Source organism: Homo sapiens, chromosome 4 (genome assembly GCF_000001405.40).
Source record: "Homo sapiens chromosome 4, GRCh38.p14 Primary Assembly".
Classification (NCBI taxonomy): Eukaryota; Metazoa; Chordata; class Mammalia; order Primates; family Hominidae; genus Homo; species Homo sapiens.
This window is the reverse complement of record NC_000004.12, coordinates 28,995,124-29,022,575: the sequence shown is the minus strand read 5'-3', so window position 1 is coordinate 29,022,575 and position 27,452 is coordinate 28,995,124. Positions and strand designations below refer to the sequence as shown.

Genomic DNA, 27,452 nt, shown 5'->3' with positions numbered 1-27,452 from the left:
ATCCTCCCATTTCAACCTCCTGAGTAGCTGGGACTATAGGCATGTGCCAGCACGCCTGGCTAGCTTTTTAAATTTTTTGTCTCTACAAGACCCTCTACAGGGTCTTGCTCTGTTGCACAGGCTGTTCTCAAACTCTTGGGCTCAAGTGATCCTCCTGCCTTGACCTCCTGAAATGTTGGGATTATAGGTGCAAACCATCGTGCCCAGCCCATAACCTCACTGTGAAAAAGAACTTCTTAAGTAAGACCAAAAACTATTAGCCATATATTAACAAATATATTTGAATATTTTAAAGATTGGAACTCCTTTAATAAGTATTATAAAGAATATAAAAAGATATGCTACTTGGTAAAAATATACATGGGAAACAAGACACATATCAAAATATACAAAATGACTTCCAAGCAAGAGAAATAGACAAGTAATCCTTTAGAAATAAAAAATGGCTGAAAACTTACCTGGGCACTTCACAAAAGGGGAAACTGCAAATGGTGAATGAAGACGTAAAAATATGCCCAGCCTCATTGGCAATCAGGTAAATATGGTACATATTGCAGGCACAATAAAACACCATTACACATCATGTAAGAAATGTGAAAACAGCAAATGTTGATGAGAATAGAGAGCTATGACAAAATACTGGCCCTGATTGCTTGCCCTTCCCTATTTCCATACCTTTTGTTACATAGCCAGGTAATATCTCCCACTAAAAGTAAAGTACCTTTGCTTACTTCTGACTTTCGGATTATCCATGTGGTTTGCCTTAGCCAGTAGGATGTTAGAAGATACAATGTTAGCAGAAGCTTCCAAAGTATGTGTGCCATTTGTCTTGCTCTCTGCTATCTCTACCATTACCATAGGAAGAACGTGCCTCTGTGATATGGTTTGGCTGTGTCCCCAGCCAAATGTCATCTTGAATTCCCATAATCCCCATGTGTCGTGGGAGGCACCTGGTGGAAGGTAATTGAATCATGGGGCGGTTACTCCCCATGCTGCTGTTCTCAGGATAGTGAGTGAGTTCTCACGAGATCTGATGCTTTTAAAAGCGGCTTCTCTCTTTGCTTGGTTCTAATTCATCTCTTTCCTGCCACCACGTGAAGAAGGGCGTGTTTGCTTCCCTTTCCGCCATGACTGTAAGTTCCCTGAGGCCTTCCCAGCAATGCAGAACTGTAAGTCAATTAAACCTTTATAAATTACCGAGTCTTAGGTATGTCCTTACAACAGCATGAGAACACTCTGCTACTCTCCTGTTCTAAGTGGAATGAGGGACACACCTAGTAGACTCAGACCTACATACCTGCAGTGTGAAGCAGAGACAATCCACAGATTGATGGGAATAAACAACTGCTGTGCTAATCCACTGAGTTTGGGATGGTTTGTTGAACAACATTATGATAATAATTTACCAATCCAGGTGTAATAAGAATTCTTACACACTGGTGGTGGAAGTACAAATTGGTACAAACGTTTTGAAAAATAGTTGTTCCTTACTTATAAATATCTATACAGTTCTCTACAACCCATAAATTCCACCAGTAAGTAAATAACCTGGAAGAAATCAGGATGAATATAAAAGAATATGCATAAAATGATCTGTAATAATAAAAACTGAAAAAATCCTACAGAGAATAAATATATAGTAATATATTCATAAAGTGGAATAAGTATGTATACACAGTAATATTTTAATAAAATGGAATAGAGTATCACTTTGGAAATAAACCTATTTGGCTACAAATGCCAATATATGTCTCACAAACAGAATGCTGAATAAAAGAAGGATATTTTCCAAAAAACACACTTTTTTTCCAGTCTATGATATTCAAAAACATAACATAATACTTTAATGTTCAGGAATGCATACAAAAACACATATATAAGAGATATTTGTCATAATCTTGGTTTCCATCTATTTAGAAGGAAATCCTGGTTTCCATCTATTTAGAAGGAAATCCTGGTTTCCATCTATTTAGAAGGAAATCCTGGTTTCCTTCTATTTTGAGAATTTTCCTCCATGAGAATCTGATATATACAACTCTTAGATGAGAAGCTGAATTCTTCCGCCACCATTCTAACATCAGTGTCATGAGTATATAATCTAAGCTCTGTCAATTAACATATCCTGCCTGGAACTTCCCATCTTAAGTACAAGCAGGATAGTGAAGAATTTGTGGTGCAGCAAAACACATTGTTCTGTGTGACAACAGTCCCTTCCTTTGGTAAAGGTTTGGCTATCACTCTAGCAGTAGCTTCCTTTGGATTTCGATACAATTTTTTTTGGTTCGTTTTGTTTTATTTTTTAACCCTAGTTCACCAACTTCCTGTATAAACCACTATAGTTTTTAGTAAACTCTTGTTAATGAACCAGTGGTGATTTCTGGGGCTTGCTGCTGAGAAAACTAGGAGACAAGCTAACAAGATCTTAAGACAGTCAATGACTGTTTGGGATCTTCCAAGTCTGGGGCCAGAAGAGACTTAGGAAAGAATATGTCCAGCTAAACATATGCCTATCTTACTACTAGGTGCCTGAGGCCCTAGATAAATGCAGGTCAGTAATTCCATTTTTTCACAAGTAGACTATTTTCTGAGTTATTTTGAAACTGTAATCTCCAGTGAGCAAAGTAGTTGTTGTTCTCTGTGTAGAAGGTGCCAGGAGGTTTGCTCTGTGCTGTCCTGTCTCTCTACAGGAAATTGCCTCATTAACTTCTGTGACATTGTAAGAGCTGCTGTATTACTTCATAATGTTGGAAATTATGTCCAATCGCCATTCTATTACTTTACTTTAGCATCCTCAGTGACTTCTAAAAGGGAATTTGTCTCTTTGAAACTGCTATATCTTTTTTTCATGTTTAGTAATACAAAACCTTTTGAAAAGCCTAGAAGCATTTATAAACCATGACAATTTTTAACAAACAAAAACATAAAAGAAAAATGCCATGCAGAACAGAGTAAATTCACATGAGATGCTGGTTATACATTCATTTTGACTCTGGCAGCAAAATAAGAGCACCAGAGAATCAGCAAAGGGAAAATAAAAGGTAGAAAAAAACCCAAAAAGCTGACAAAGAATTCTGAACATGAAATAAAGGCAGAAATAGAGAAAAGTAAACTCAAAGAAGGAAATGGAAATCTAAAATAAATAAAGTTAACCCGTCATGAAAATAATTGACAAAGGCAAAAAATAAATAATCAAGCTAATCAGAAGGAGAAAGAAAAATGGAAGGAAGAAAAATTCCAAATTCATATTTAATTTTCTCAAGTAAGCAAAAATACACTAAAACAACAAGGGAAAAGAGACCCTAGAAAAAGAGAAAGAATAATATACAGTGTGCAAGTTCTATCTCATAAATCTTAAGATGCTGGAGAGACTTGAGATGTACTCATTCTTTATTAAACGCATATAGAGAAATATTTTGCTGCTTTCAAAACTACACTCACTCACTGCCCCTGTTCCATCTTTACTGCCTTAAGAAGTAAAGAGCCCCAAAGCTTAAGGCATTTCAGGTTTAGTTATCAAGGCTAACATTCCATAAGTGATTTTGTATAGACATGAAACAGGTTAGAGAAGAGAGGCATGGTCACACATTTTGAAAATCAGTATTCCCATCAGTCTACACATCTTTTCAATAATTTATTCAACAATATATTTACCAGACATTTTCCTTCAGACTCACTGGGCTACACTAGTCATTTCCAAGAGGTCTATCTGAGTAATATGACATTTTATGTAGGTATTTGCAGTGCATGAGGCTTTTCAAAGGAATTTTATAGATGCTAAAAGTTCCTTATTATGATAGGTTCCTATATTGTTTTTTGCATAGCTTATAGGAAGAGGGAAGAGGTATGTAAATTAAATACTGTGGCATTTTCTGGTCTTTCTCGACTGGAGTTCATGAGAGAATAAGCCCTATTGAAATTATTTATAGGATTATTCTCAAAAGTACAGTTGTACATTAAAAGAAGTCAACTGATTATCTACAAGGGCTGGCTAAGGCAATTGTTCGCAAATGTCCTCAGCATTATGTAAAAAATTGTCAGAAATTTAAATGTTTGGTCCCCACCTTAGATCTACAAAGTCAGATGTTATATTCATGGGGTGAGACCAGACAATCTGTGTTTCAATAAAATCTCCACATGATTCTGATCCAGTCTGAAATTTGAAAATCACCACCTTAGTGCATTCAAGCCTAAATCCCTTTGGAGCCAGGTTAAGACAGTTGTATCAGACTGTTCTTTCATTGCTATAAAGAACACCTAGGGCTGGGCCATTTATAAAGAAAAGAGGTTTAATTGGCTGATGATTCTGCAGGCTTTACAGGAAGCATGATGCGGACAGCTGCTCAGCTTCTAGGGTAATAACAGAAAGCTTACAATAATGGCAGAAGGTGAAGGGCCATGGGGGATCCACCTCATGACCCAAACACCTCCTAACCAGGCCCCACTTCCAGGACTGGAGATTGCAATTCTACATGAGATTTTGGAGGGTGCAAATATTCAAACTACATCAACAGCCTATAAGCTTCTTCAGGAATGTTTTTCAAATAGTCACAACGTAAAATGATAAAACTAGAACAGTAGAAAATTTAATGTTATTCTCTTACATAGACCGATAGCTTTAGGAAAAAGCCTGCTGTGGTTTTATCAAAAATCATCCTTATAATAACAAAAATGTAAATATCAATTTTCAATAGCAAGGTAGAGTATTTGAAAATCTACTATTCTGAGTTCTACGTCATGTAAGCAAACTTACTACAACAACTGCTACCACAAAGAGATACATAATGAGAATTACTACTAATAATATAGACCTATGGCAACTGATTGTCAAAAATCCAATAAATACAATTCTATGGAGAAAATACAAATGGAAGGGAAAAATCTTTCTATGTGTTTGTCAAAAATCCAATAAATAATTGCAATTCTATGGAGAAAATATAAATGGAAGGGAAAAATCTTTCTATGTGTTTGCATGTGTATGTGTGTGTGTGGGTGTTTGTGTTAGTAGGGGAAAGTGGCAGTTATACAGAGTTTCATTTGGTTTGTTTTTTAATGAGACTGAAGAAACATACCCCTAAACTTCATACAAATGCATACTTTACTATTTACTTTGATTTACAGACACACACACACACACACACACACACACACATACATGCGCACGCAGGCACTGCTGTAACTTTCTTTTTGTTCTCTATTTTATGCTGTAATAGTCTATTTTTCTGCTTCTAGTGATGAACAATATAGATGTAATAGGAGATAGTTTCTGCAGAAAAAGACAATGCATCATTAAAGCACAAGGATATTAAAAGCAAATTCAAAATCAGGAAAACATTTGAACTTTATGCACCAACTTGATTTGGGGACGAAAATGTATTTCAGATTTAGTATTCTTTCTTTTGCTTTTTCTTTAGTTTTCTTTCTTTTTGCTTTTCTTTCCATCTTATATTTCTTTTGTTATTCTCCTTCTTTGTTAATAAACTTCTGCTTCTTTGGCCCAAATGAGTGAAATATAGTCAACTGGGTCTGCATTTTCACTTTACATGTTGAAGTACAGCAATCCGGTTCAAATAGTTTGATCCTCTTCTCTCAATATCAAGGACAAATTATTGAAGATCAATACTTATGCCAAGGGACATGGTCTCCTAGTTACTGCAACCATATAGAGAAGAGGGTGATCGTATTTGAATGGAAAGTGAAGTCACAAATAATTGATATCCACCACAAAAATAAACACAAACCATCATTTCTATCACAATATTATTACTTATTTATTCACCAATTCTGAAAGCAAAAAGTACTGCTGACATAAAATAGTAACTAAACAAAGTATTTTCTCCGTAGTCACAAATTAAAATTATTCTGTTACATTAAACATAGATGTTATTTGACAAATGTCTATTCAGTACACATGTGAAAGACAATATGGTAGATAACATATGCATTATTTCTTAGCTTGCCTATATGTAGGTATTAGTTGGTGGGCTTGTTAATATACGTATTTCTGGCCTCCATTCAAAGAAATTACGCCTCATTGTTATGGAGAAAGGGCTCAATAATTTATTTTTAACAGGCTCCAAAGGCGATTTTCATGTTTTAGGACAAACACTTGAAAATGCCCTTGGAAGAGAAAATTGAAACAATGTCACTCTCCTCAAAATTCCTAAATTCTGAAGCATTTGAAATCATAATCATCTTTTGATGTTGGTGCACACATATAGTGGCTTCAAATACAAAATAAAATACGTTATATTTTGTAAAGCATAGACTCAACTTAAAGGTTCAGGTTCAACATGTAAATGCTTATAAGTAATCACTCCTGTCTTTACAATAACAGAAAGCTAAGGAAATTGAAAGTCAATTAACTTTTCTTGGACCCATCAGATAACTGAGGTCACAGGGTAAACAGCAAGCCTAAAATCTGGAGAGAAAGGGAAATCCAGATAGTCATAGCTGAGATCTGCTTACCTGGAGGAGAAGCTGAGGAACCATAAACTGGTAGGCAAACTTAAATAGTAATTTTAATAAACTGCCCAAAATGAAATGTAGACTAGCTTGAGTTTGAGAAATTCCTAGGGCTGCATTCTAAAAACGTCCTTCACACTTTTGTGGGTTCTACTACCAGAAACTCACCAGATTCTTATTAGTAGAGAGCCATGAAAGATCCTCTGAAGGACCTGGCAAGGTTGGGGAGGTATGATCATTATAAAATACACCTAGAGATTTCTCCATAAAAACAAAACAACAAACAACAACAATAAACAACAACACCTATCTCCATTGGAAGAAACTTTACCAGAGCCTTATCTCATGTGGAAAAAGAGTATTTTTTCAACTTCAGCCCCCTTTAGCCTTCTTGTTTCAATTTAGTGGGGGAAGGATGAAAGCTAAGAAACACCAGTGAAGCGTACAGCCTTGTGACGCAGGCCAGCTGAAAGAATGATATTTAACCATACAACTATAGAATATTTTGTTTTCCTTACAGCTTACCACCTTATCAACAGGGCTTTAATATAATAACACTGGATTACAATAGAAAGTTGCAAAGTATAGACTCTTATTTTAAAAGGAATTCTTAGGGAAGCACAAACACAATAGGTGAGAAAATAAATGAAGAAAATAAAGGACTGTGAAGCCTCTGGAACTTACAACTTTAACAAATGTTCAAAACAGTTCATCTCGTAGCCTAATTTAAAAGCTCATAAAAGCTCATAGTAAAAGCCTGTTTACTTCAATTCCAATTACCTGATGCAATATATATGGATTTCACCAAAAAAATATAAAGCATGCTAAAATGCAAGTAAAACATAACCTAAAGAGACCAAGCAAGCATTAGAACCAGGCAGAGTTATTACACTGATTTGAGAATTATCAAACAGGAAATTTAAAATTACCATTTTAATATACACAATGTTTAAGAAGAGATAGACAATAGAAGTAGGAAGAAGAGAACATTCAGAAGAGTTCAAAAGGAAATTCTAGAAATAAAAAATACTGCAACAGAAATGAAGAATGTCTTTGACAGGTTTATCAGTAGGTAAGACATGGATAAACAAATAATTAATGAGCTTTGAGAGAAATCAATACAAACTTCCCAAAATGAGAAGTAAACAGAAAAGAGAATAAAAATTAAAAAATAAAATAAAATAAAAAAACAAAGCACAGAACATCCAAGAACTACAGGACAATGTCAAAAGGTCTAACACATGCCTATTGGAATATCAGGAAAAGAAGAAATCAGAAATCCCCTGCTATCTTTCACAAAGTCTTCTGGAGCGCATAGGCAACGCTTCTGCCTTTCTCTCTTTGACAAAAATTTAGTCACGTGATGCCAAAAGAAGGTTGAGAAATGTAGTCTTTTAATTGTGCCCACTGATCGGTGTTATGTTACTCAGGGAAAATTGGAGAATGGTAGAACAGCCTCTATTGTACTCAGTTGGAAGTAATAAAGCTGGGAATAAAACAGTTTGATTATAAAAACATATTTGTCATTCTAATGTGGAAGGATTTTATTCTTTAGTGTTCTGAAAGGCACATGGTCATTTACTCTGACAAGGTCTATATGAACTATATTGGATCTGAACATATCTTGCCTTAGAGATATTGTTGCCCATTCTTCACATAACTTTTTAGCTAATCGGTGTAAACATGTCATATTGCTCAGCAAATGCAGAAAAAAATGAGTTGAATCTGGGGCTAATTTCAGAAGTCCTAGATGTAACCATTCATAGCAGTATTTGTCTTCAGGCCTGTTGAAGTATGAAGAAAGAAAAATAATTTAATTTGGATGGAATATCAAGTTCATTAATTAAAAAGTGAAAAGTTAAAAAAAGGACAATGTTGCAAAACTAGAGAGGATAAAAAATTTGAAGACTGTGAGTAAACCTTCCTGTTATACCAAATAATTTGATTTTATATTTTCTGAATAATGAATGGGAAACCATGAAATTTTAGAATAGGTTGAAAATTCTGAGATGCACTTAAGGAAACAAATTACAAACATTGTCACTTGCTTTAAAAGAAGAAAAATGAATATACAAAAACCTGGTAGGTGAGGAATGCATTTATAGTAAAGGTAAGAGATTGAAAAATAAATACATCTGAATTATATTGAAAGCAACATTTGCCTACTTTCCTAATTTAACTGTAAACAACTTTGCAAATAGTCAATCCTCCCAAATCTAGACCTCACTAATAGTTGTCCAAAGTTTACTATTTAACAGCAGTTTGAAGAAAGCATTCTGGAATTTTAGGTGCACTGCAAACTTTAAGTTTAGGTTAAGAACATTTCCCTCTTTTGGAGGGAAGCAATTGTCTATTTTATCCTACCTTTTTTTTCCAAGAGTGGAAAATATCATGCAATCTGACTGAAATTCAGATTATCTTCAAACAGTTATGCTGAGACTACAAGGTATACTGGGAAGAGAGAGCTCACTGTCTGATCACTTACCATAAGTTTAACATGTTGGAGAACATCTTGTATTATTTGGAATCTATCCATCATTAAACATGAATGAGGAGACTGTGGTACACAAATGCGGTAATACCAAATGGATACATGTATTAAAGACACTGTAACCATCTGGACTCAATATGGGACCCAGAATGTTCCCATTTATCAAATTATAATTCCCATACGATATTTTATATCTGTAATTCAATGTTGATGAAAACATAATTGTTTTTAATTTGTCAAAGTGATTTTCAGCAGTAGTGGAGTAAGTTCACACATTTATCAGAGGAGGAAAAGATTGGTGGCCAATAGAGAATTTTACTAAATTCTCTTGTTTTAAAGAAAGAGGAAGCACAGAGACAAATAATAGTCACCATCAGAGGATCATTCAAAAATTTTGAGAATGCACACATTTGATAATTATTCTTGTCTCCATCTGTTTGAATTCGTTTCCTCTATCTTAAAAGTGCTCTCCCTTTTCAATGTTTACCTAGATATTAAACAGGTTTCAAGATCCATCTTTTCCATAAAAACTTTATTACTACCATCCACTCCATTATATACTGAACTGTCCCTTCTGTAATACTGGAGACATTACTACCTCCACAAAGTAACTTTTAATACGGGCTTTTTAATGATCTCCATGCAAAATAGAGGTCTGTCTTCTTTCCTGTCTTTTTTTTTTTTCTATTAATTGATTTTTTCTTTCTTTTTTCCTTCCTTCTTTTTCCCCTGAAGAAAAAAAAGTTTTATCATGAAAAATTATATAACACCAATAAATAAAACTAAGAAAAATGCAGATATTATTTTTCAAGAAATAGAAGTTCCCATACTTTTTCTACCAGGCCTGTGTTATGGCTGAAACATCTCTACTGGAAACTCAGGATATCTTGATAGACCATTAGCACAGCCTGTAAAAAATATTTACATAAATAATTCTTTGATGAATATTGGCACCCCTTTTAGTCCCGGCTATTGCTACTTAGGATAACCAGTATCCTATTATTTCCCCTTGTTCTGAGATAAATGCTATCAGGAACACTTTCACTTCCAGTCCATCCAGGCTCTTTAGCTCTTCTAAGAGTTAGTCCAGGAAGGAATCTATGATGATAAGATTCAAGGTATTAATGCAAGAAGTAAAAGTAAAAACTAATAGGGAATAATAAATGCTCTGAGAGCTCCTTCCTTCCTCCAATCTAGACTCTGTTTTCTCCCAAATGTTGTTGGGCATCCTGAATCTTTTTCGATCATCTCCTGTTCCTCTCACCTAGCCACATTTTGCTTCTTAGCACTTAGTCCTTGAATCCTACAGTCAAATTTTCATGACTTTCTAAGTATTTTTCCTCTCCAAAGTGTATAATCCTTATTCTAATATTCTTCTTCTCAGTCATGGCACCTCCGTTCTTCCAGTGAATGGGGTTAAAAATCTTGGAGATACCTTGCAGTCACTCAGTCTTCAAAATACCCCTGAAATCTAACTTTTTTCTAGCAATATCACCCTAGCCCAAGCCAACAACGTACCTAAATGTGACCATTGCAATCCCCTCTGAGAGTCTTCCATTTTCCAATATTATCAATCCTCCTACACATATACTTCTGTCTATCTTTTCCAAATTACTATTTGACACATGAATCTGTTTATGACGTTCCTCCAATCGAAGTTCTCCGGTGGCTTCCTATCATGCCTAGAAAAATACTCACATTTTCTTCCAGGCTTATAAATTCTAACAGGAACTTGTCCCTGACTGCCTCCCCTACTCACCTCCCATTGTCTTGCCACACTTTTTACCGTTTTAAAAACTCTTCTGCCTTGGAACTATTGCACTTTGCTCCACCCAACCTATTACTCTAGATAGCCTTATGACAACTTCTTATTTTGTACAAAAGCCAGGTCAAATTTATTACCTTCAGAAATGAACTTCCTAAGTGCCTCAATTAAATAGAAGTCTTCCATAAAATGAAAACTTACATTAAAATGATTTTATATTTATCACTATGTGACAGCATATAAATAAAATGTGTGTATACATATCATGTATAATGTCTGATAACAATTAATGTATTTAATATTTTCCCAACTAATAGACTGTAACTGCCATGAAAACAAGGATATTATTTATATGAACAATAGTGCCTGATACATAGGAAATACATAATAAATATTCTGAATACATAAATAATCTAAAGGAATTATATAATTTATATATGTCAAAAGGTAATATAAGCATAATTTAAAACAAAATATTAAAGAGAAAAAATATTTTTCAACATACATGCCAGAAAAAATAAAATTCCAAAAACTTAACCCTGAAATTCTTCATGAAACTTGGTCTAACAAGACCTTCCCCATTACAGATGATGGCAATTTCCTCTTTCCATTTGCCAAGTACAAATCCTTGAAGACTTCGTTGATACCCTTCTTTCTCCTGGAGTCTCATGTAATCTATTATTTTAGTTGCCCATAACTTCCAAATATATGCAAACTCAGACAGTCTCTCAGCACATTTTTATTAGCCCTTTATCCCATGGTCATCTCTATGCCTAGGTTACTGCCATATTCTCGTAAGCTGTGTCTTTGCCTATAGTACAGGCTTTTCATATAACAGCAGCTGGAGTGATCTCTTTCTACTGAAGGATTGAGTGCTGGCATACGATGGGAACTTTTTCCTGCTTGCACAGCTTTCCAATTATTTTGTAAATTAGCGGTGGCTCTTTGAAGCTCTGGAAAATCCTGTTTTCTGAACCTGTCATCATCACCAATGAATATTCATGACAGTGGTGTTTATTGTATGAATTGCCACGATTTTTTCTGGAGTTACATGAATTTGTGTTTGAAACAGAAGCCTACATAAGCCTTGAATTTTTAACCCAATATTCTTGAATCTCTACCTGTATTGTTATGACTGTGATGAATGTCATGTGAACAATCAAAATTCCAAAGGGGTGCAGCATCAAAGCAGTTTCTCTCATCAGACCAGAGAAATTCAAAATAGTCTTCAAAATGAAAAAAAAAAAAACAAAAAACTTGACTAACAGTAGGCTATTGGTAAGAAAATTTCATTACTACCTGACATTACATCTAAAGATAAGATAAATTTTTGGCATGTTCTTGTGGGTTTTTTAAATCAACTGTAATTTCTGTTTCAAGGTTTCAGTGTCCTTTTTTAACTTCAGAAAGGAGAAACTAAAATTTAATTTTAAAAGTTTTTATTCCAACATTTCTTTTATGCTATTTTTCTGCTTTATAAGCATGAATAAGTATTAAAGGCATAAAATAATTGGATATATATATTTGTATATATATACATATATCAGAGTATTTTAACATATCAGATTATGTTACTATTTCTTTGCTCAAAATTCTGCGTTTTAATAATATTAAATTCAAATTTCTCCACAATGGTCTCCTAGGTACAACGTGATTTGTGTCCAGGCTATGACACTCCGTTACCCCCACCTTGCCTCCAACTGGTTCTTGCCTTTTCTTTTCCTCGCTTGCCCCTGCATATTGGCCTTCCAGCTGTTGTTGAAACTGACAAGCACATTCCATCCTTAGGGCATTTGCTTTAGCTGATCTTTGTGCCTGGAGCACTCTTCTCCCAGATTTGCAATTGGCTTCCTGCCTTACCTTTGCGCAGATATCACCTTCTTAATAAAGCTGAACCTCACAAATCTATTTAAAATGTTCAGTCTGGAAATCCATATTCCCCTAATTATGTTCTATTTTATTTTACTTTGTACAGTATTTATCATCTTCCAGCACAAGTTTTAAGTTAGTTATTTATTATGCCTGTGGTATATTGTCTTTTTCTGCAAGAATATCAGCTGCATGAGCACAACTTACCTTATTCTTGTTGTCAAACTAAATAACAGAGAGAGGCTCTCTAAAAGAAGAAAGATATTTATTCAGGAGTAAGGTATTTCAGTGGGAATACAAGAGCCATAGTAAACTATGTGTGTATTCAGGGAGGTCAAGGAAGACAAAGGTTTTTAAAGGAAAAAATGAAGAGGATTACACAATTGTTGTCAGGTAATTATCCTTGACTATAAGGATCAATAATAAGGGTGACAATAATCTGAGAAGAGTTTCTGGGAAGATATTTTTGCAGAAGTATTTTTGTGTAAGGTTGCAATAGCTTCTGTACAAGGTTGTGATTTTTGCAATGCTTTGTGGTAGTTTTGGTCTCAGGCATACCAGCATGAGAACCTTCTCCTCAGGGCCTTTTCTGGCTCTATTTGTCTTTATCTTTTTGAAAACACTAGTGACTCCCTTCTGATTCTGATAATTTTCACACTGTATGTGAAGCACTACTATTATGCATATACATGGTAAAAGCTTGGAGGGCAAGCTTCGAATTCTATTTGTTACATGAATATTTTAAGAGCTCTTACAAATAAAGATAAAAAACCAAACCTGTCAATCGAAGAAATGAAAGTAGAAACAAGAGTATGAAAAAGAAAAATTCAGCTCAACATCAAAGGCAAATTAAAGGCAAAACTCCATTTTAGGCAATTAATTTAGAAGGAGCTTTTCCTTTATTTCCTGATAAACATGTTTTAAAAAAGACAGTATAAATAATAGAATCTAGTAGAGAGATTCAGTCATGGTTGCTGCCCTATCTCACATGATTCCTTCTTAAAAGAAACCTACAATAACCTTCATGTTCACATTCCAGGGCAAATATTTAGCCATGATTATGATTCTATATGCTTACTGTGTAGCATAAATATCATGCATATGGATAGAACCCTCTAATGTTGTATCTCTATTTAACCTGTTCTTCAGAAAAGGGCAGCTGACCCACACCCTCTGGGTCAATCTTGATAACTCTCACTCTCTTTCTCCATATACAGCCAAATCCGTCAAGGGCAACATACCACTTTCATGTGAAAAGAGACTTCTTTCTTGACTTTCGTGCTTTTTTTGGTCTTCTAGTTTTCCCACAACAGATCTGTATTAAACATCAAATTTAGTTTAGAGAATTGGGGATGATTAATTAGCCCAGCAGACTTATGTATAATTAACTGAAAGTTAAATATGGCCCTAAATATGAACGTAGTCCATTCCAGCTCACCAGGAGAACTCTGCTTTAGAATTCCAAGAACAGATCTGGAAAGTATAAAATACTGTTTTGCTCAATGTTGTCATATTTTTCTTATTTACTTATCTTAGTTGTTTAATTATGGGGTCAGAAGGCTGGGATCTAAAGTAGAATTCTCGTACTGTAGTTTCCTCAAACTCCATATAATAGAACTAGAAAATCCTACATTAAACCTGAAGTGTGTGTGTGTGTGTGTGTGTGTGTGTGTGTGTGTGTGTGTATTTCTTGTGTATTGGTATTTGTCTGTTTTTAAACCTAGGATAAAAAAATAAGATAGGGAAACAAGATATTTGGTATATTTGTTGATTGGAAAGATGACAGTTACAGTGAAAAAGCTGTATTAGATCTACAACTAAGAAGTGAACATTGAGCAAGAAAGAAACACTAAAAAGATAAACAGACAAAAAATTCTGTCTGGTAATATCGGTATTGTAGAAAAAAAGAGTATCTTTTTTTCCCATCTTAAGTTCATGGCTGAGTTCTCTATAACAAAAGACAGATTGGCAACACAAAAGCATACACATTTATTTAATATAAGTTTTATGTGACACAGGAGTCTTCTGAAATGAAAACATTTCAGTCAACAATCAACTGCTTATGCTACAGTGGTCTCATAAGATTGTAATACTGTATATTTACTGTACCTTTTTTATGTTTAGATATGTCTAGATATGCAAAAATTTACCATTGTGTTACAATTGCCTACAATATTTATATAGTAAGATCCTGTACAAATTTGCATCTCGGGAGCAATAAACCATACCATGTATGGTTTATTATGGTTTATAGCCTAGGTGTGTAGTAGGCTATTTCATGTAAGTGTGTGTAAGTATATCCTATGACTTTTGCATCATGAAATTGGCTAATAACTCAATTTTTGGAACCTATTCCCATTGTTAAGCGATTCATGACTCTATTTAAAAATTTGGAAATTGGAGTGGCAAATCACAGGTGCAGAACTCACCATCTTGGCATAGTCAAATAAACAACACAGAGACTTAGGCACTGTGACAAAAGTGATCAAAAGAGTCAAAATTGCCCATGCAAAATGTTGCATATTATAAAGATCATGCCAGTTACTGTTTTCATTTATGCACACATTGAAAAGGGTGTTTATCTCAAGTTCCTTATCGTTGTAAATCAGAGGGAAAAAATGGATAGAGGTGAAGCAGAGGAGGCCTAGTATCAGAAACAAGAAGTTGTAGTTGGAAATCTCACAAAAGAGAGGTATAAAACAACATATTAAAAACCGGTCATGAGATATTTTAAAACAACCTATCTACTGTTTTTTTTAATTCAAATATATTCAGCAGGTCAGTCATATAGCAGTTATATATTTTTTTCTTGTTTCAATTCTAAAACTGCAACTGACAAGTTTTAGTAATCTCACCAGATAGAAAGAAGAATAATTTTAAAAAGTTTTATAATTTGAGATTATTTCACCATAACCATATTGCAAGGAAAAATGATGCTTTATTTTTAATAAAAATAATTTTGTCAACAAAAACTTGCTTAGGGTGTGATTTCAAAAGTGATAAAGTAATGCATTTAGAATTAACAATTAACTATTTTATATATATACATATATTTATTATAGTTTAAATTGTAGGGTACATGTGCACAACATGCAGGTTTGTTACATATGTATACATGTGCCACGTTGGTGTGCTGCACCCATTAACTCCTCATTTACATTAAGTATATCTCCTAATGCTATCCCTCTCCCCTCCCCCCACCCCACAACAGGCCCCGGTGTGTGTTCCCCTTCCTGTGTCCAAGTGTTCTCATTGTTCAATTCCCACCTATGAGTGAGAACATGCGGTGTTTGTTTTTTTGTCCTTGGGGTACTTTGCTGAGAATGATGGTTTCTAGCTTCATCCATGTCCCTACAAAGGACATGAACTCATCCTTTTTATGGCTGCATAGCATTCCATGGTGTTTATGTGCCACATTTTCTTAATCCAGTCATCATTGTTGGACATTTGGATTGGTTCCAAGTCTTTGCTATTGTGAATAGTGCCACAGTAAACATACATGTGCATGTGTCTTTATAGCAGCATGATTTATAATCCTTTGGGTATATACCCAGTAGTTTTTCCTATTTTCTGAATTCCTGATGCTGTGGCATCTGGCCCTTGCTGACCTGAGAGAGATTGTCTCACCCAGGATTAGTTCATTCTCAGAGATAGTAAAGAACTTGCTTGAGAGCATGCCTTTGGTATGCAAACCAGCCAATGCCAAATCTATGTCTCCTCCTCCTTCTGTTATGTTTAAACTATGGAACACTTTCCTCCAGGCCTAAGCACCCCAGAGCAATGTCACTGACAACTAGGGACTCCTCCTGCACCCTACAGCCCACCAAATTAATCAAAATATCTCATTTTAAACCTACTTGGCTTGCGTGCTTTCCATTGTCCATTCCTCCCAACAAAAACTCCAGTCAAGGCCCTGCCCTCAGCTCTCCTCTCTGCCTGCTCATCTCATGCAGATACTTCCCAGGCATAGTGTGCTGGGCCTTCTATTTTTAGGAGACCGTGAGAATAATGCAAATGCCTTTATTAACCACAATCACGTTCGTGCCTGTGTGCCTTATCAAACTTAATTAAAACAAATCCTGGGTACCATAAAAGAAATCTGTATAAAAACATTAAAAAGTATGAAACCATTAAGATATAAAGAGTTAATCATCAATTATCCAGAAAGTTTGCTTCACTAGAAAACTCATTGCCAGATAATGTCACATAAAGGAGGTACTACAGTTTCCTGAGTTCTTGTCAAAAATTGAACATAAAACGTAAAAAAGAAATTAAAGATAATCAGACCTAAGAGCTTAAAAACACAGTAGATTGTTCACTGGCCTACACTGTAAAACTAGAAAATCTGGAGATCTCATTTAAAATAATGACCAGCCTCACAGGGATTTTACTTGTAATGAAGACTTAATGTATCTGAAACATTTTAAAACTTTATGGATGAGAGACATGAATCAAAGGCTTTGCTAAATCACTCTTCTATCTCTCGCCTCAGGAGGTTAACTGCGATGCCAGCTTTCCTATGAAGGGGAGAGGCCCGAATTTTGGAGTTTGTTTTGAGCAAAAGTCAAATAGAACCATTGCTCCAGGGATCATTGCTTTTCTACATGGATTGTAGTCATAACAAACAAAAGAGCTATATTAATATATATCGAAGTGGTCCTGATTAGCAGGAAAGTAAATCAAACTAAACCAACACAGAGACCACACACACACAATATGTCTACCAATTCCCAAAGAATAGAATGGTGGGATGTGTCTTTATCACACAGAAATAATATGACAGTTATGACTTTCTGTGAAGAGGTGGTTGCTGGAACATAGAAAAATAAACTCACTTTGAAGGAGACTGGAGATAGGGCCAACTTACAAGATGGTGAATCATTCTATGCCTAATGTTGTTCAAAATGTTATTGGAAACTTTTTTTTAAAAAAATTAAACATTATTGGGCTGTATTGATATAGCGTTTGCAAATATGTTCTGTATATAAAATTGCATGAAATAAATGGAGGTTCAGAGAGACTCAATAACTCCTCATGGGTTCTTTTTGATGGTGAAGAGCTTGGATACGATTCCTGATCTGATTTCAAAACCCTAGCTAATGAGTTTTGAAACAGTATGTTTTATTCATAGAAAACATTATCTTGAGTTTTCTGTAAAGAATGTGATATCTTTGTAACACCGTAAAATTATTTATGTTTTTAAAACCATTTTTCTATATTATGATGAGTGATAGTGAAAATCACATGGACTTTAATATTAGAGACCTAGATTTAAATAAGAGCTTAACCATTTGATATTTGTGAATCTTAGAAAAGTTACCTAATCTTTCAAAGCTTAAGTTTTTGAATGTGTGAGCATAGCCAAGATGTGGTCACAGAGAATGGTTTGCATAATAAAGGGTGGTGTGTTTAAGAAGTACTGTTAAATTAGAACCTACAAAATATAGTTTCTACTGTAGCACATAACAAGAAAAAAAATTACTTGGAAAAAAAATCCCATAAAATGCCTGCTTTGAATTTGAAAAAAAAAAACATGGAAAATGTATTCTGTTTTAAAAATAAAAATGACACTCCAAATTCAAAAGAACTGCTTTTCTAAATGATGTTGCTAAAGTAGAGTTGTATATTAAAGCATTTTTTATAAAAAGAAAGTTGCTGATGTTTTTTCAATGTATTGTGTTGTTCAAGCCCCCAGTCATCTAGCAATCCTTCTTAGCTATGTATCTAACTCATACTCCATATTTTAAAGACTCTCCTCTGCTCTTGTGGTTTACCTAAAAATTCCACGTTTCAAAATTTTGTTTTCCTTGTATACTGTTGAAAGACTTTTTAAGAAAGTCTTCTTCAACGCTAGTTTTTTAAAATTCCAATTAGCATCTAGCCATTGAAATTAGACCTTCTAGCCTCTTTAGAAATGATGTGCTGAGACCTGAAAATGCTCTGCTTCTTTGCAGAGGATGTTTTTGGATAATTCTCCTTATTACAAGCAGATAGCTCTGAGTGTGTTAGAGCCAAGCACTGAGGATCTTTACATTATTCTACATTTTTTTTTTCCTATTCTGAACAACACTGGTGACTAGAACCTATGACTTCCTCAAGGGTAGCATCCTGAAAAATTGTTATCCCAGTTCAGAATATTTATACTTTTTAACAACAGATAGGTCACAGATGCAGATAACCAAATCAGACCTCGTCTCTGTAAACAACTGATACAGCCAAACGTGTGCGTACCAGGTGACTGTCATCCCTGGTCAAGATTCGTTATCAAAAGCTAAAGCTCTTGAGTTTTCACAAGGTGTGATCCTCGAGGTGTCTTCTAGGTGTGATTGAAGAGAGCTTTCAGTACTTACTTCTAGCTTTGACTTTCCTGCATTTCTGAAGGATGGTTTTCAAACCTTGACATATCCTTCTATCCCCTACTCTTTTTGGTGTTGGGATAACTTGTCTTTGTTTCCATTTTACTCCATTTAAAAGCCCTCCAAACACTTCATCTTCCCACTTTTTCACTGAAAAACATCATGCTATAAGTGAAAGAAGCCAGGCACAAAAGACCTTGTGTTATTCCACTTAAATCAAATGTCCACAATAGGCAAATTTATAGAGATGAGAAGCAGACTAGTGATTGCTTGGGAATGAAGGAAACAAGAGAGTGATAGGTAAAGGGTCCAGGGTTTGTTTTTGAGGTCATAAAAAATATTTTGAAATGTTTTGTGGTGATGTTTATACATATCTATGAATTTACTGAAAACAATTTCATATTTGTGAATTACATCTCAATAAAATGGCTAAATACCATATTAACAACTACGGTCTAGAGAGACAGGCACTAAAATACAGATTTCTAAGTGGTTGCCAATTGATCAAATAGTGGCTGTTTCTAAGTAGTTGCCAATTGGTCAAATAGTGGCTGTTTCTCTTTGATTATCATTTACTTAAATGCATTGTCAAAATTTAAAAATGTAGGGATCTCACATAAAAATCCAGAAGAAAGAGAAGGAAGAAAGGAAGGAAGAAGTAAGGCAGGGAGGAAGGCAGGGAGGAAAGAAGGAAGGAAGGAAGGAGAAAAGACAAAAGAAGAAAGAGAGAAGCATTATACCTTGTCTGTTGGGTTTTCATAAGAGTTATTATCTCTGGATAATTATCTCTGAATAATAATAGTTTGAGCCCCCTAGGAACACATTGAATCCCTTTCCTAAGTACATATAAATGACAGGAAAGAATGACAGCATCCTGGACTCCTCATTTTTCTCTTTCCTTTTTTATAACACCTTACATTGAATGAGATTGTAGTCAAAACTGGGGACAAGGATGGTATTTTTCTCTTGCAATGAAAGAAAAAAAACCTCAGTGTCAATCATTGACAACATTTAAAGAGTATCTTCTACTGACTGACAACTTTTAAGCCAATACTATATTGCCCAAGGAATGACTGAGATATCAGACTTCATAGTTAAGGATGCTATTTATGAACTCCAAGGGGTTGTGATGTTCTTACTGTTTAACAAGTGTAAGTAAGAGATCCCACAATGCTGCTGTACAAAATCCCTTTGTCATTCCACTTAATCCCCTTCACCATTTCCTCTCCTGAGCCTTAGCTTCATGGTCACTTTAGTTCTTTGAAGTTTGTTTTTCTGCCCCCCATCTGTGTGAATCACTGCAGGCCAAATTCTGTTTTTGTGATAGTCAAGGGGAGCTGCCAGCCTGTATCTAAAGGCTGAATTGAGCACCAGGGGTGGTGGCTGATCTCTAGCAAGTGTAAACAAACCTATCAGAAAATGTGGCTAAGCTAGACAAGTGCTAGGGAGGGATGTTAGCAGAGTGGCCAGATAAATGATTTTTATTTGGTTCTACAGAACTGAGTGTGTTCTTTTCTTCCTCCTTCTTTCTTTCTTTCTTTCTCTTTGTTTGTTTGTTTGTTTGTTTGTTTCTTTCTTTCTTTCTTTCTTTCTTTCTTTCTTTCTTTCCTTTCTTTCTTTCTTTCTTTCTTTCTTTCTTTCTCTTTCTTTCTTTCCTTCTTTCTTTCTTTCTTTCTGTAATTCTGTAATTCCTTTCTTTTTCTGTAATTCCAGTTCAATTGTGATCTCATATAAATAACTACAGGTTGCATAATAATTGTAGGGTTATTGAAAATATTGCATTTTATACCAATGTTATTTCTGTAGACCTTTACATTTAAAAGCACTTTCAAATTCCTTTTCTTGTAACATAGTTAGGATGGATTATCATATTAGATAAAGGTTTATAAATTTAATGTATGATTCCCAAAGTATTGTTTTCTAAGTACTTGTCAATGAGAAACCAAATTCAATGATTATAAGTCAACATCTTTATATTCATTTATTATTTACAAATATGCAAGGATTATTTGTAATAATCTGGTAGGATTCTCAATTTGACAATACAATTTCACTCAATTTCCCCTGGTTAGAATACAGGAGTTAAGGAATTTGTTACAAGTATGACTTCTGTAGAGAGCTGCCAATCTACAGATCTTATTCTAATAGCTTCAATAACTCTAACACTACATATAAGTTGCTGAAGAGAGAGATTTAAGTAAAAATTTTAAGGCAAGTAAAAAAAATCAACTTAATTATATCCATTTTGGAAAGCATATAAATCAACTTTTCACTACAAAAAAATGCTAATTCAGTAAGCTATCTAATGCTTAATCTAAAGGAGGTTATATTGTATTATAAATTGAGAAAAACTGCATTACAATTTAACATTTATTTAATTGAAACCTTTGCCAGATGTAAGTATTCTAATAAGCTTATGAATATCTAAGACAAATATGTAAAACTGAATGTTTTCATAAATCATACAGAGGGAATTTCTGAAGCATAAATGTCAACCGAGTTGTCCCTTCCTTGAGGAAAGGGAACCAGTCTTTTAAATTTGCTTTCCAGTGTGTCATTGATTCAGACTGTCCTGGGATTGAAGCACAAGTGCAAAATCTCACAGGCATCTCTGGGCAACGTTGTTCTAGGCAAAAGTAATTCTCAAGAGAGTGAAGCTGTCAGAAAGTGGCAGAAAACACAGTAGTTGAGGGGATGCATATTGCCCTAAATCAAAAAATGGATCTGGGTGGTACACCAACGGCATCTGTTATAGTCCACAACTCACATTGCGCAAATCTATTTGCATCTCAAATCAAGTTGACTCCATTAGGGCAGAACTTCTCTGGGATTCTTATTGGTCACAATTTCTAGGGAATGTATAAGAGAAGAGTTAATTTTATTCACTATAAAACATGATGTTGCTTTTTGTCTTGAAGGCCATAAAGAATACCCATCATCTTCCCTCTTCACCATCCATTCTAAAGTTACTCCTTCTCAGATAGCATTTTGTAGGTATAGGTTGTTTGCCTGGTGACACAGATTCTCATCTTTGAGGAGATTCTGAGCTTCTAGGTTCAATTTACTGGTCAAGCTAAGATTTCTGCACCTGCTCAGTTACAGTTAAAACTGAATAGAAACTATCAAGGTATTTCCCAGTTGATCATCAAAGTGCAAAACATATTCATTCCTGCTCTGATATTTGCCAACAACCTTCCCATGTATAATGATCATGTTCAATTATTACTCTATTATGACTACTCTATTTTTTTCCTGATAATCTTCTAGCACAAGGAGCCAAACAGTTCATAAGGCCACTGTGGTTATGTAAGTTTAGTGAATCTCTTACTGTGTACCCAGGAGGAAACATCTCTTCTGTGAGAACTAGGACTTTGGAACTACAGAATCTAAAGTTGCAAGTTTAAGAAACACAAAATTCCTAAGAGGCTCAGTAGGATAGTAGAGTCATCCTGATTTCCATCCCTTGGAGTCCGAGTCCACGTGGTCTACTAATTTAAGAGAAGAGCGTAATCTCTTTCTCAGTGAATATTCCTCAGTAGCTACTAGTATACAAATTAAAGATCTGCACACTTGTGCCCATTCTTATTGCTTCACCCATATGCATCTTCCCCAAAGTTCCTTGTACCCATATTTCAATATTGTTTCTTACAAGCCAATGGCCAAACAGATAACCCATTTGGTGCTGTCCATGAATATTATATATAATAAATTTGGAGCTGGATGTGGTGGCACATGCCTGTAATCCCAGCACTATATGAGACTTAAGTGTGATGATCACTTGAGCCCAGAAGTTCAAGGCTGAAGTCAGTTATGATCATGCCACTGCACTCCAGCGTGGATGACAGAGTGATAACCTGTTTGTAAAATGAAATAAATAACTAAAATGATAATTTTGGTTTAATTCTTTTATTACTCTGTTCTCACGCTGCTAATAAAGACATTCTCGAGACTGGGTAATTTATAAAGGAAAGAGGTTTAATTGACTCACAGTTCCACATGGCTGGGGAGGCGTCACAATCATGGCTGAAGGAGAATGTGGATCAAAGTCATGTTTCTCATCGTGGCAGGCAAGAGAGCTTGTGTAGGGGAATGCCCCTTTACAAAACCATAAGATTTCATGAGACTTACTCACTGTCATGAAAACGGCATGGGAAAGACCCAGCCCCATGATTCAATTACCTCCCACAGAAGGGTCCCTCCTATGACACGTGGGAATTGTGGGACCTACAGTTAAAGAGGGGATTTGGGAGGGGACACAGCCAAATCATATCATTCTGCCCCGGCCTATCCCAAATCTCATGTCCTCACATTTCAAAAACAATCATGCCTTCCCAAAAGTCGCCCAAAGTCTTAACTCATTTCAGCATTAACTCAAAGTCCAGAGTCCAAAATCTCATTTAAGACAAGGCAAGTCCCTTCTGCCTATGAGCCTGTAAAATCAAAAACAAATTAATTACTTCCTAGATACAATGGGGGTACAGGCATTGGGTAAATACAGCCATTCCACGTGGGAGAAATTGGCCAAAACAGAGGGACTACAGGCCTCATGCAACTGTAAAATCCAGCAGAGCAGCCAAATCTTAAAGTTCTGAAATGATCTCCTTTGACTCCATGTCTCACATTCAGGTCACACTGATACAAGAAGTGGTTCTCATGGTCTTGGGCAGCTCTGCCCCCGTGGCATTGCAGAGTACATCCTTCCTCCCTGCTGCTTTCATGGGCTGGCGTTCAGTGTCTGTAGCTTTTCCAGGTGCATGGTGCAAGCTGTTGGTGGATCTACCATTCTGGAATCTGAAGGATGGTAGCCCTCTTCTCATAGATCCACTAGGCAGTGCCCCAGTGGTGCCTCTGTGTGGGAGCTCTGACCCCACATTTCTCTTCCACACTGCCTTAACAGAGGTCCTCCATGAGGCTTCTGCCCCTGCAGCAAACTTCTGCCTGGAAATCCAGACATTTCCTTACATCCTCTGAAATCTAGGAGGAGGTTCCCATACCTCAATTCTTGTCTTTTCACCCACAGACAGGTCCAATACCATGTGGAAGCTGCCAAGGCATGGGGCTTGCACTTTCTGCAGTAATGGCGTGAGCTGTACCTTGGCCCCTTTTAGCCAGGGCTGGAGCTGAAGCAGCTGGGATGCAGGGCACCATCTCCCAAGGCTGCACAGAGCAGGGTGTCCTGGACCTGGTCCATAAAACCATTTTTCCCTCCTAGGCCTCCAAACTGTGAGGGGAAGGGCTGTTTTGAAGACCTCTGACATGCCCTGGAGATGTTTTTCCCATTTTCTTAGTGACTAACATTTGACTCCTTGTTACTTATGCAAATTTCTACATGGGGCTTAAATTTCCTCAGAAAATATATTTTTCTTTTCTGTAATATCCGCAGGCTTAAAATTTTCTGAATTTTATGCTCTGCTTCCTGTTTGAACATAAAGTCCAATTCCAAACCATATCTTTGTGAATACATAAAGTTGAATGCTTTTAACAGCACCCAGGTTACCTCTTGAACACTTTACTGCTTAGAAATTTCTTCTGCCAGATGTCCTAAATCGTTTTTATCAAGTTCAAAGTTCCATAGGTCTCTAGGGCTGGGGCAAAATGCCACCAGTCTCTTTACTAAAACATAGCAAGAGTCACCTTTATTCCAGTTCCCAACAAGTTCCTCATCTCCATCTGAGAATGAGCAGCATTTGGTCAAAGCCAGTCAACAAGTCTCTAGGAAGTTCCAAACTTCCCCAGATCTCCCTGTCTTCTTCTGAGCCCTCCAGACTGTTCCAACATCTACCTCTTACCCAGTTCCAAAGTTGCTTCCACATTTTTGCTTTACAGCAGCACCCCACTACCTGGTACCAATTAACTGTATTAGTCTATTCTCATGCTGCCAATAAAGACATACCTGAGATGGGTAATTTATAAAGAAAAGAGGTTTAATGGACCCACAGTTTCACATGGCTTGAGAGGCCTCACAATCATGGTGGAAGGCAAAGGAAGAGCAAAGGGACATTTTACATGGTGGCAGGCAAGAGTACAAATGCAGGGGAACTGCCCTTTATAAAACCATCAGATCTCATGAGACTTATTCATTATCACGATAACAGCATGGGAAAGACACACCCCTGATTCAATTACCTCCCACCAGGTCACTCTTGTGACATATGAGAATTATGGGAGCTACAATTCAAGATGAGATTTGGGTGGGAACACAGCCAAACCGTATCAATTCTCTTTTGTCATAAAAATGGACAATAAGATGTACCTGCCAACCCTATACCTACTGAATAGATTCCTTCTCACCATTATGTCTCATAGCTACCACTAGAGACCAGCCTGGCCAACCTGGCAAAACCCATCTGTACTAAAAATACAAAAATTAGTTGGGCTGGTGGTGGGTGGCCATAATCCCAGCTACTTAGGAGGCTGAGGCAAGAGAATCACTTGTACCCAGGGGGCAGAGATTTCAGTGAGCCAAGATTGTGCCATTGTGCTCCAGCCTGGGTGACAGACCTAAACTCCATCTCGGAAAAAAAAAAAGTTGTTGTACAAAAGTGCATTTTTGGCTTATACAAACATACTGAGGTGACCTATTCATGAAGTAAGTTCTGTACTATTCTTCCTCTCCAGCCATTAAAAAAAAGATCCAGCTTGAGAACACAGATGTGAGTATAAAAGAAGGTACTACTGCAACAGTGGTGGGTGGCATTTATGTATCTTATTTTTACCCATTAAACTTGAGATTGATCCTAGATGCACTACTTCCATCTTACCATGGATTCTAGCTGGTTCTCACTGACTATCTGACTTTTTAAGTCTTCTCACACCCAGATCTTGATAAGCAGTACTCATTCCATGGTTTCTTGATATGCCATGGTCAGATATTCAATCTTTACCAATGTCCAATAGCATACTTACAGTTGCTTTTCAAATATGCATGCATGTTTGTTGCAAATGGCATGATCTTTCTTACTTCTTAAACCTTGGAGTTTGAACTATGGTTTTCATATGAATCTGTACAATAGACGTCACGTAAAACCTTTTCTGTAAATTAGATAACTTTAGTTCTATGAGATCTTCTAGTTGCATGGCTCAAACAACATCTTGGATCTGTTTCAGAGCCTTTTCTTGTTCTAAGTCCCACTCAAAGCCATTAATGTTACCTAACAAATGTGTCAGAATAGCATTACATATAATAGCATTATTATGTAATAAATGTGTCAGAATGCCATTCCCAAGTATAGTATGCTGTGTATGACCCCCAAAGAAGGTTAGGAGTTTTGTAGCTATTATTTCAATATGTTGGCCTGCCTTGGATTCCTAAAAATTTGAGAAATATGATAGGCACATGAATAACTGTAGGGATATATCTTTACCCTCTAGAGCAAGATATTCCGACTGCTAGCCATTTTTTGTTCATCAAGTCAATCAAAATGAAGAGTGGACCAACTTTATCGCCTGTGGATTGTTTAGATGGTACTAGAGCCTACTGGTATATTGTGTCAGCAAGCTAGAGAAATAAACTTTTTCAAGAGAAAGAACCACAATATTTGTTATCATATATTCATTGTGAATGTGACTGTTTCTTATTCTCCTTCTCAGTGGGTATGTAAAAGAAGGCACTTGCTCTAACAATAGCTAATATTATATAACAGAAACTGTGCTAATATACCCTTGTAAATATACCAAATCTGGTACAACAGCTGCAATTAAGGTTTACAGTGGCCCTGACTCATAAGCCGGACCAACTATATTTTAGGGGATTGTGTTGTGAACTAAATGGTGATATCATAAGCTGGACCAACTATATTGTAGGGGACCGTGTTGTGAACTAAATGGTGATATCATAAGGCGGATCAACTATATTTTAGGGAATCATGTTGTGAACTAAATGGTGATATCATGGAGATCACAATCCCTGCATCTTTTAAGTTTTTGTGAGTAGCACTAATCACCCTGTGATATAATTTTGTTCAGGATTTGCTATATTTTATGGAAGGGATTAGTTTCAGAGTCTTCTTCTTGGCATTTCCTAATGCAATTATTCTTACTCCACAGAAACCAAGGTGTGGGTTCTGTCAACTACTAGAGATGTTCATTCAAATTATATATTTGTGAAATAGGGCTTTGGATGTAGTGGATCTTCTGTGAGTCAGATCCGGGCCAAGACTCCCTTTATGACTGGGCCGTATGTGCTTATTGTCTACCATAGCAGAGAGAATGAGAATTTAGGTATCTAGTATCTGTGTCCATAGCATTTTTTTTTTTCTAACTAGCCATTGAAATATGAGATCTTCCTTTACCTCTGTGTAAAATTACCCAAGTAAATTGCCATATAAATGTGTTTAGTAAAGGAAGGTGAAAAATCACTGCTGTGTACACTTGCTGTGCTATTAAAGGGTCCTTCTTCATGGGGCCCTGTTCCCCTCATAACCAGTTGTTCTTGGGCTAAAAAATGTCTAAGCTATGAAAAGTGGGGAATGGGCCATGAAAGTTCACTGAGGTAACTGACTTCAACCTT

The 27,452-nt window shown here is 35.9% G+C and overlaps 1 long non-coding RNA gene across 1 annotated transcript, besides 1 other annotated feature; it reads right to left on the bottom strand.

Annotated features, from left to right (window-relative positions):
* Window positions 1–7,981: 7,981 nt before the first annotated feature.
* On the bottom strand, window positions 7,982–25,792 carry LINC02364 (long intergenic non-protein coding RNA 2364). The gene is made up of 3 exons (NR_146499.1): window positions 25,705–25,792; window positions 13,829–13,902; window positions 7,982–8,246 (listed from the first exon to the last, which is right to left on the bottom strand). It is a non-coding gene; the product is annotated as a long intergenic non-protein coding RNA 2364 (long non-coding RNA).
* Window positions 19,901–20,522: an enhancer, noted in NCBI's record as "OCT4-NANOG hESC enhancer chr4:29003676-29004297 (GRCh37/hg19 assembly coordinates)". NCBI's record gives its function as "activates a minimal SCP1, AML or CMV promoter by ChIP-STARR-seq in naive and primed H9 embryonic stem cells {active_cell/tissue: H9 hESC(naive and primed)}" and the evidence as "EXISTENCE:reporter gene assay evidence [ECO:0000049][PMID:30033119]".
* Window positions 25,793–27,452: the final 1,660 nt, after the last annotated feature.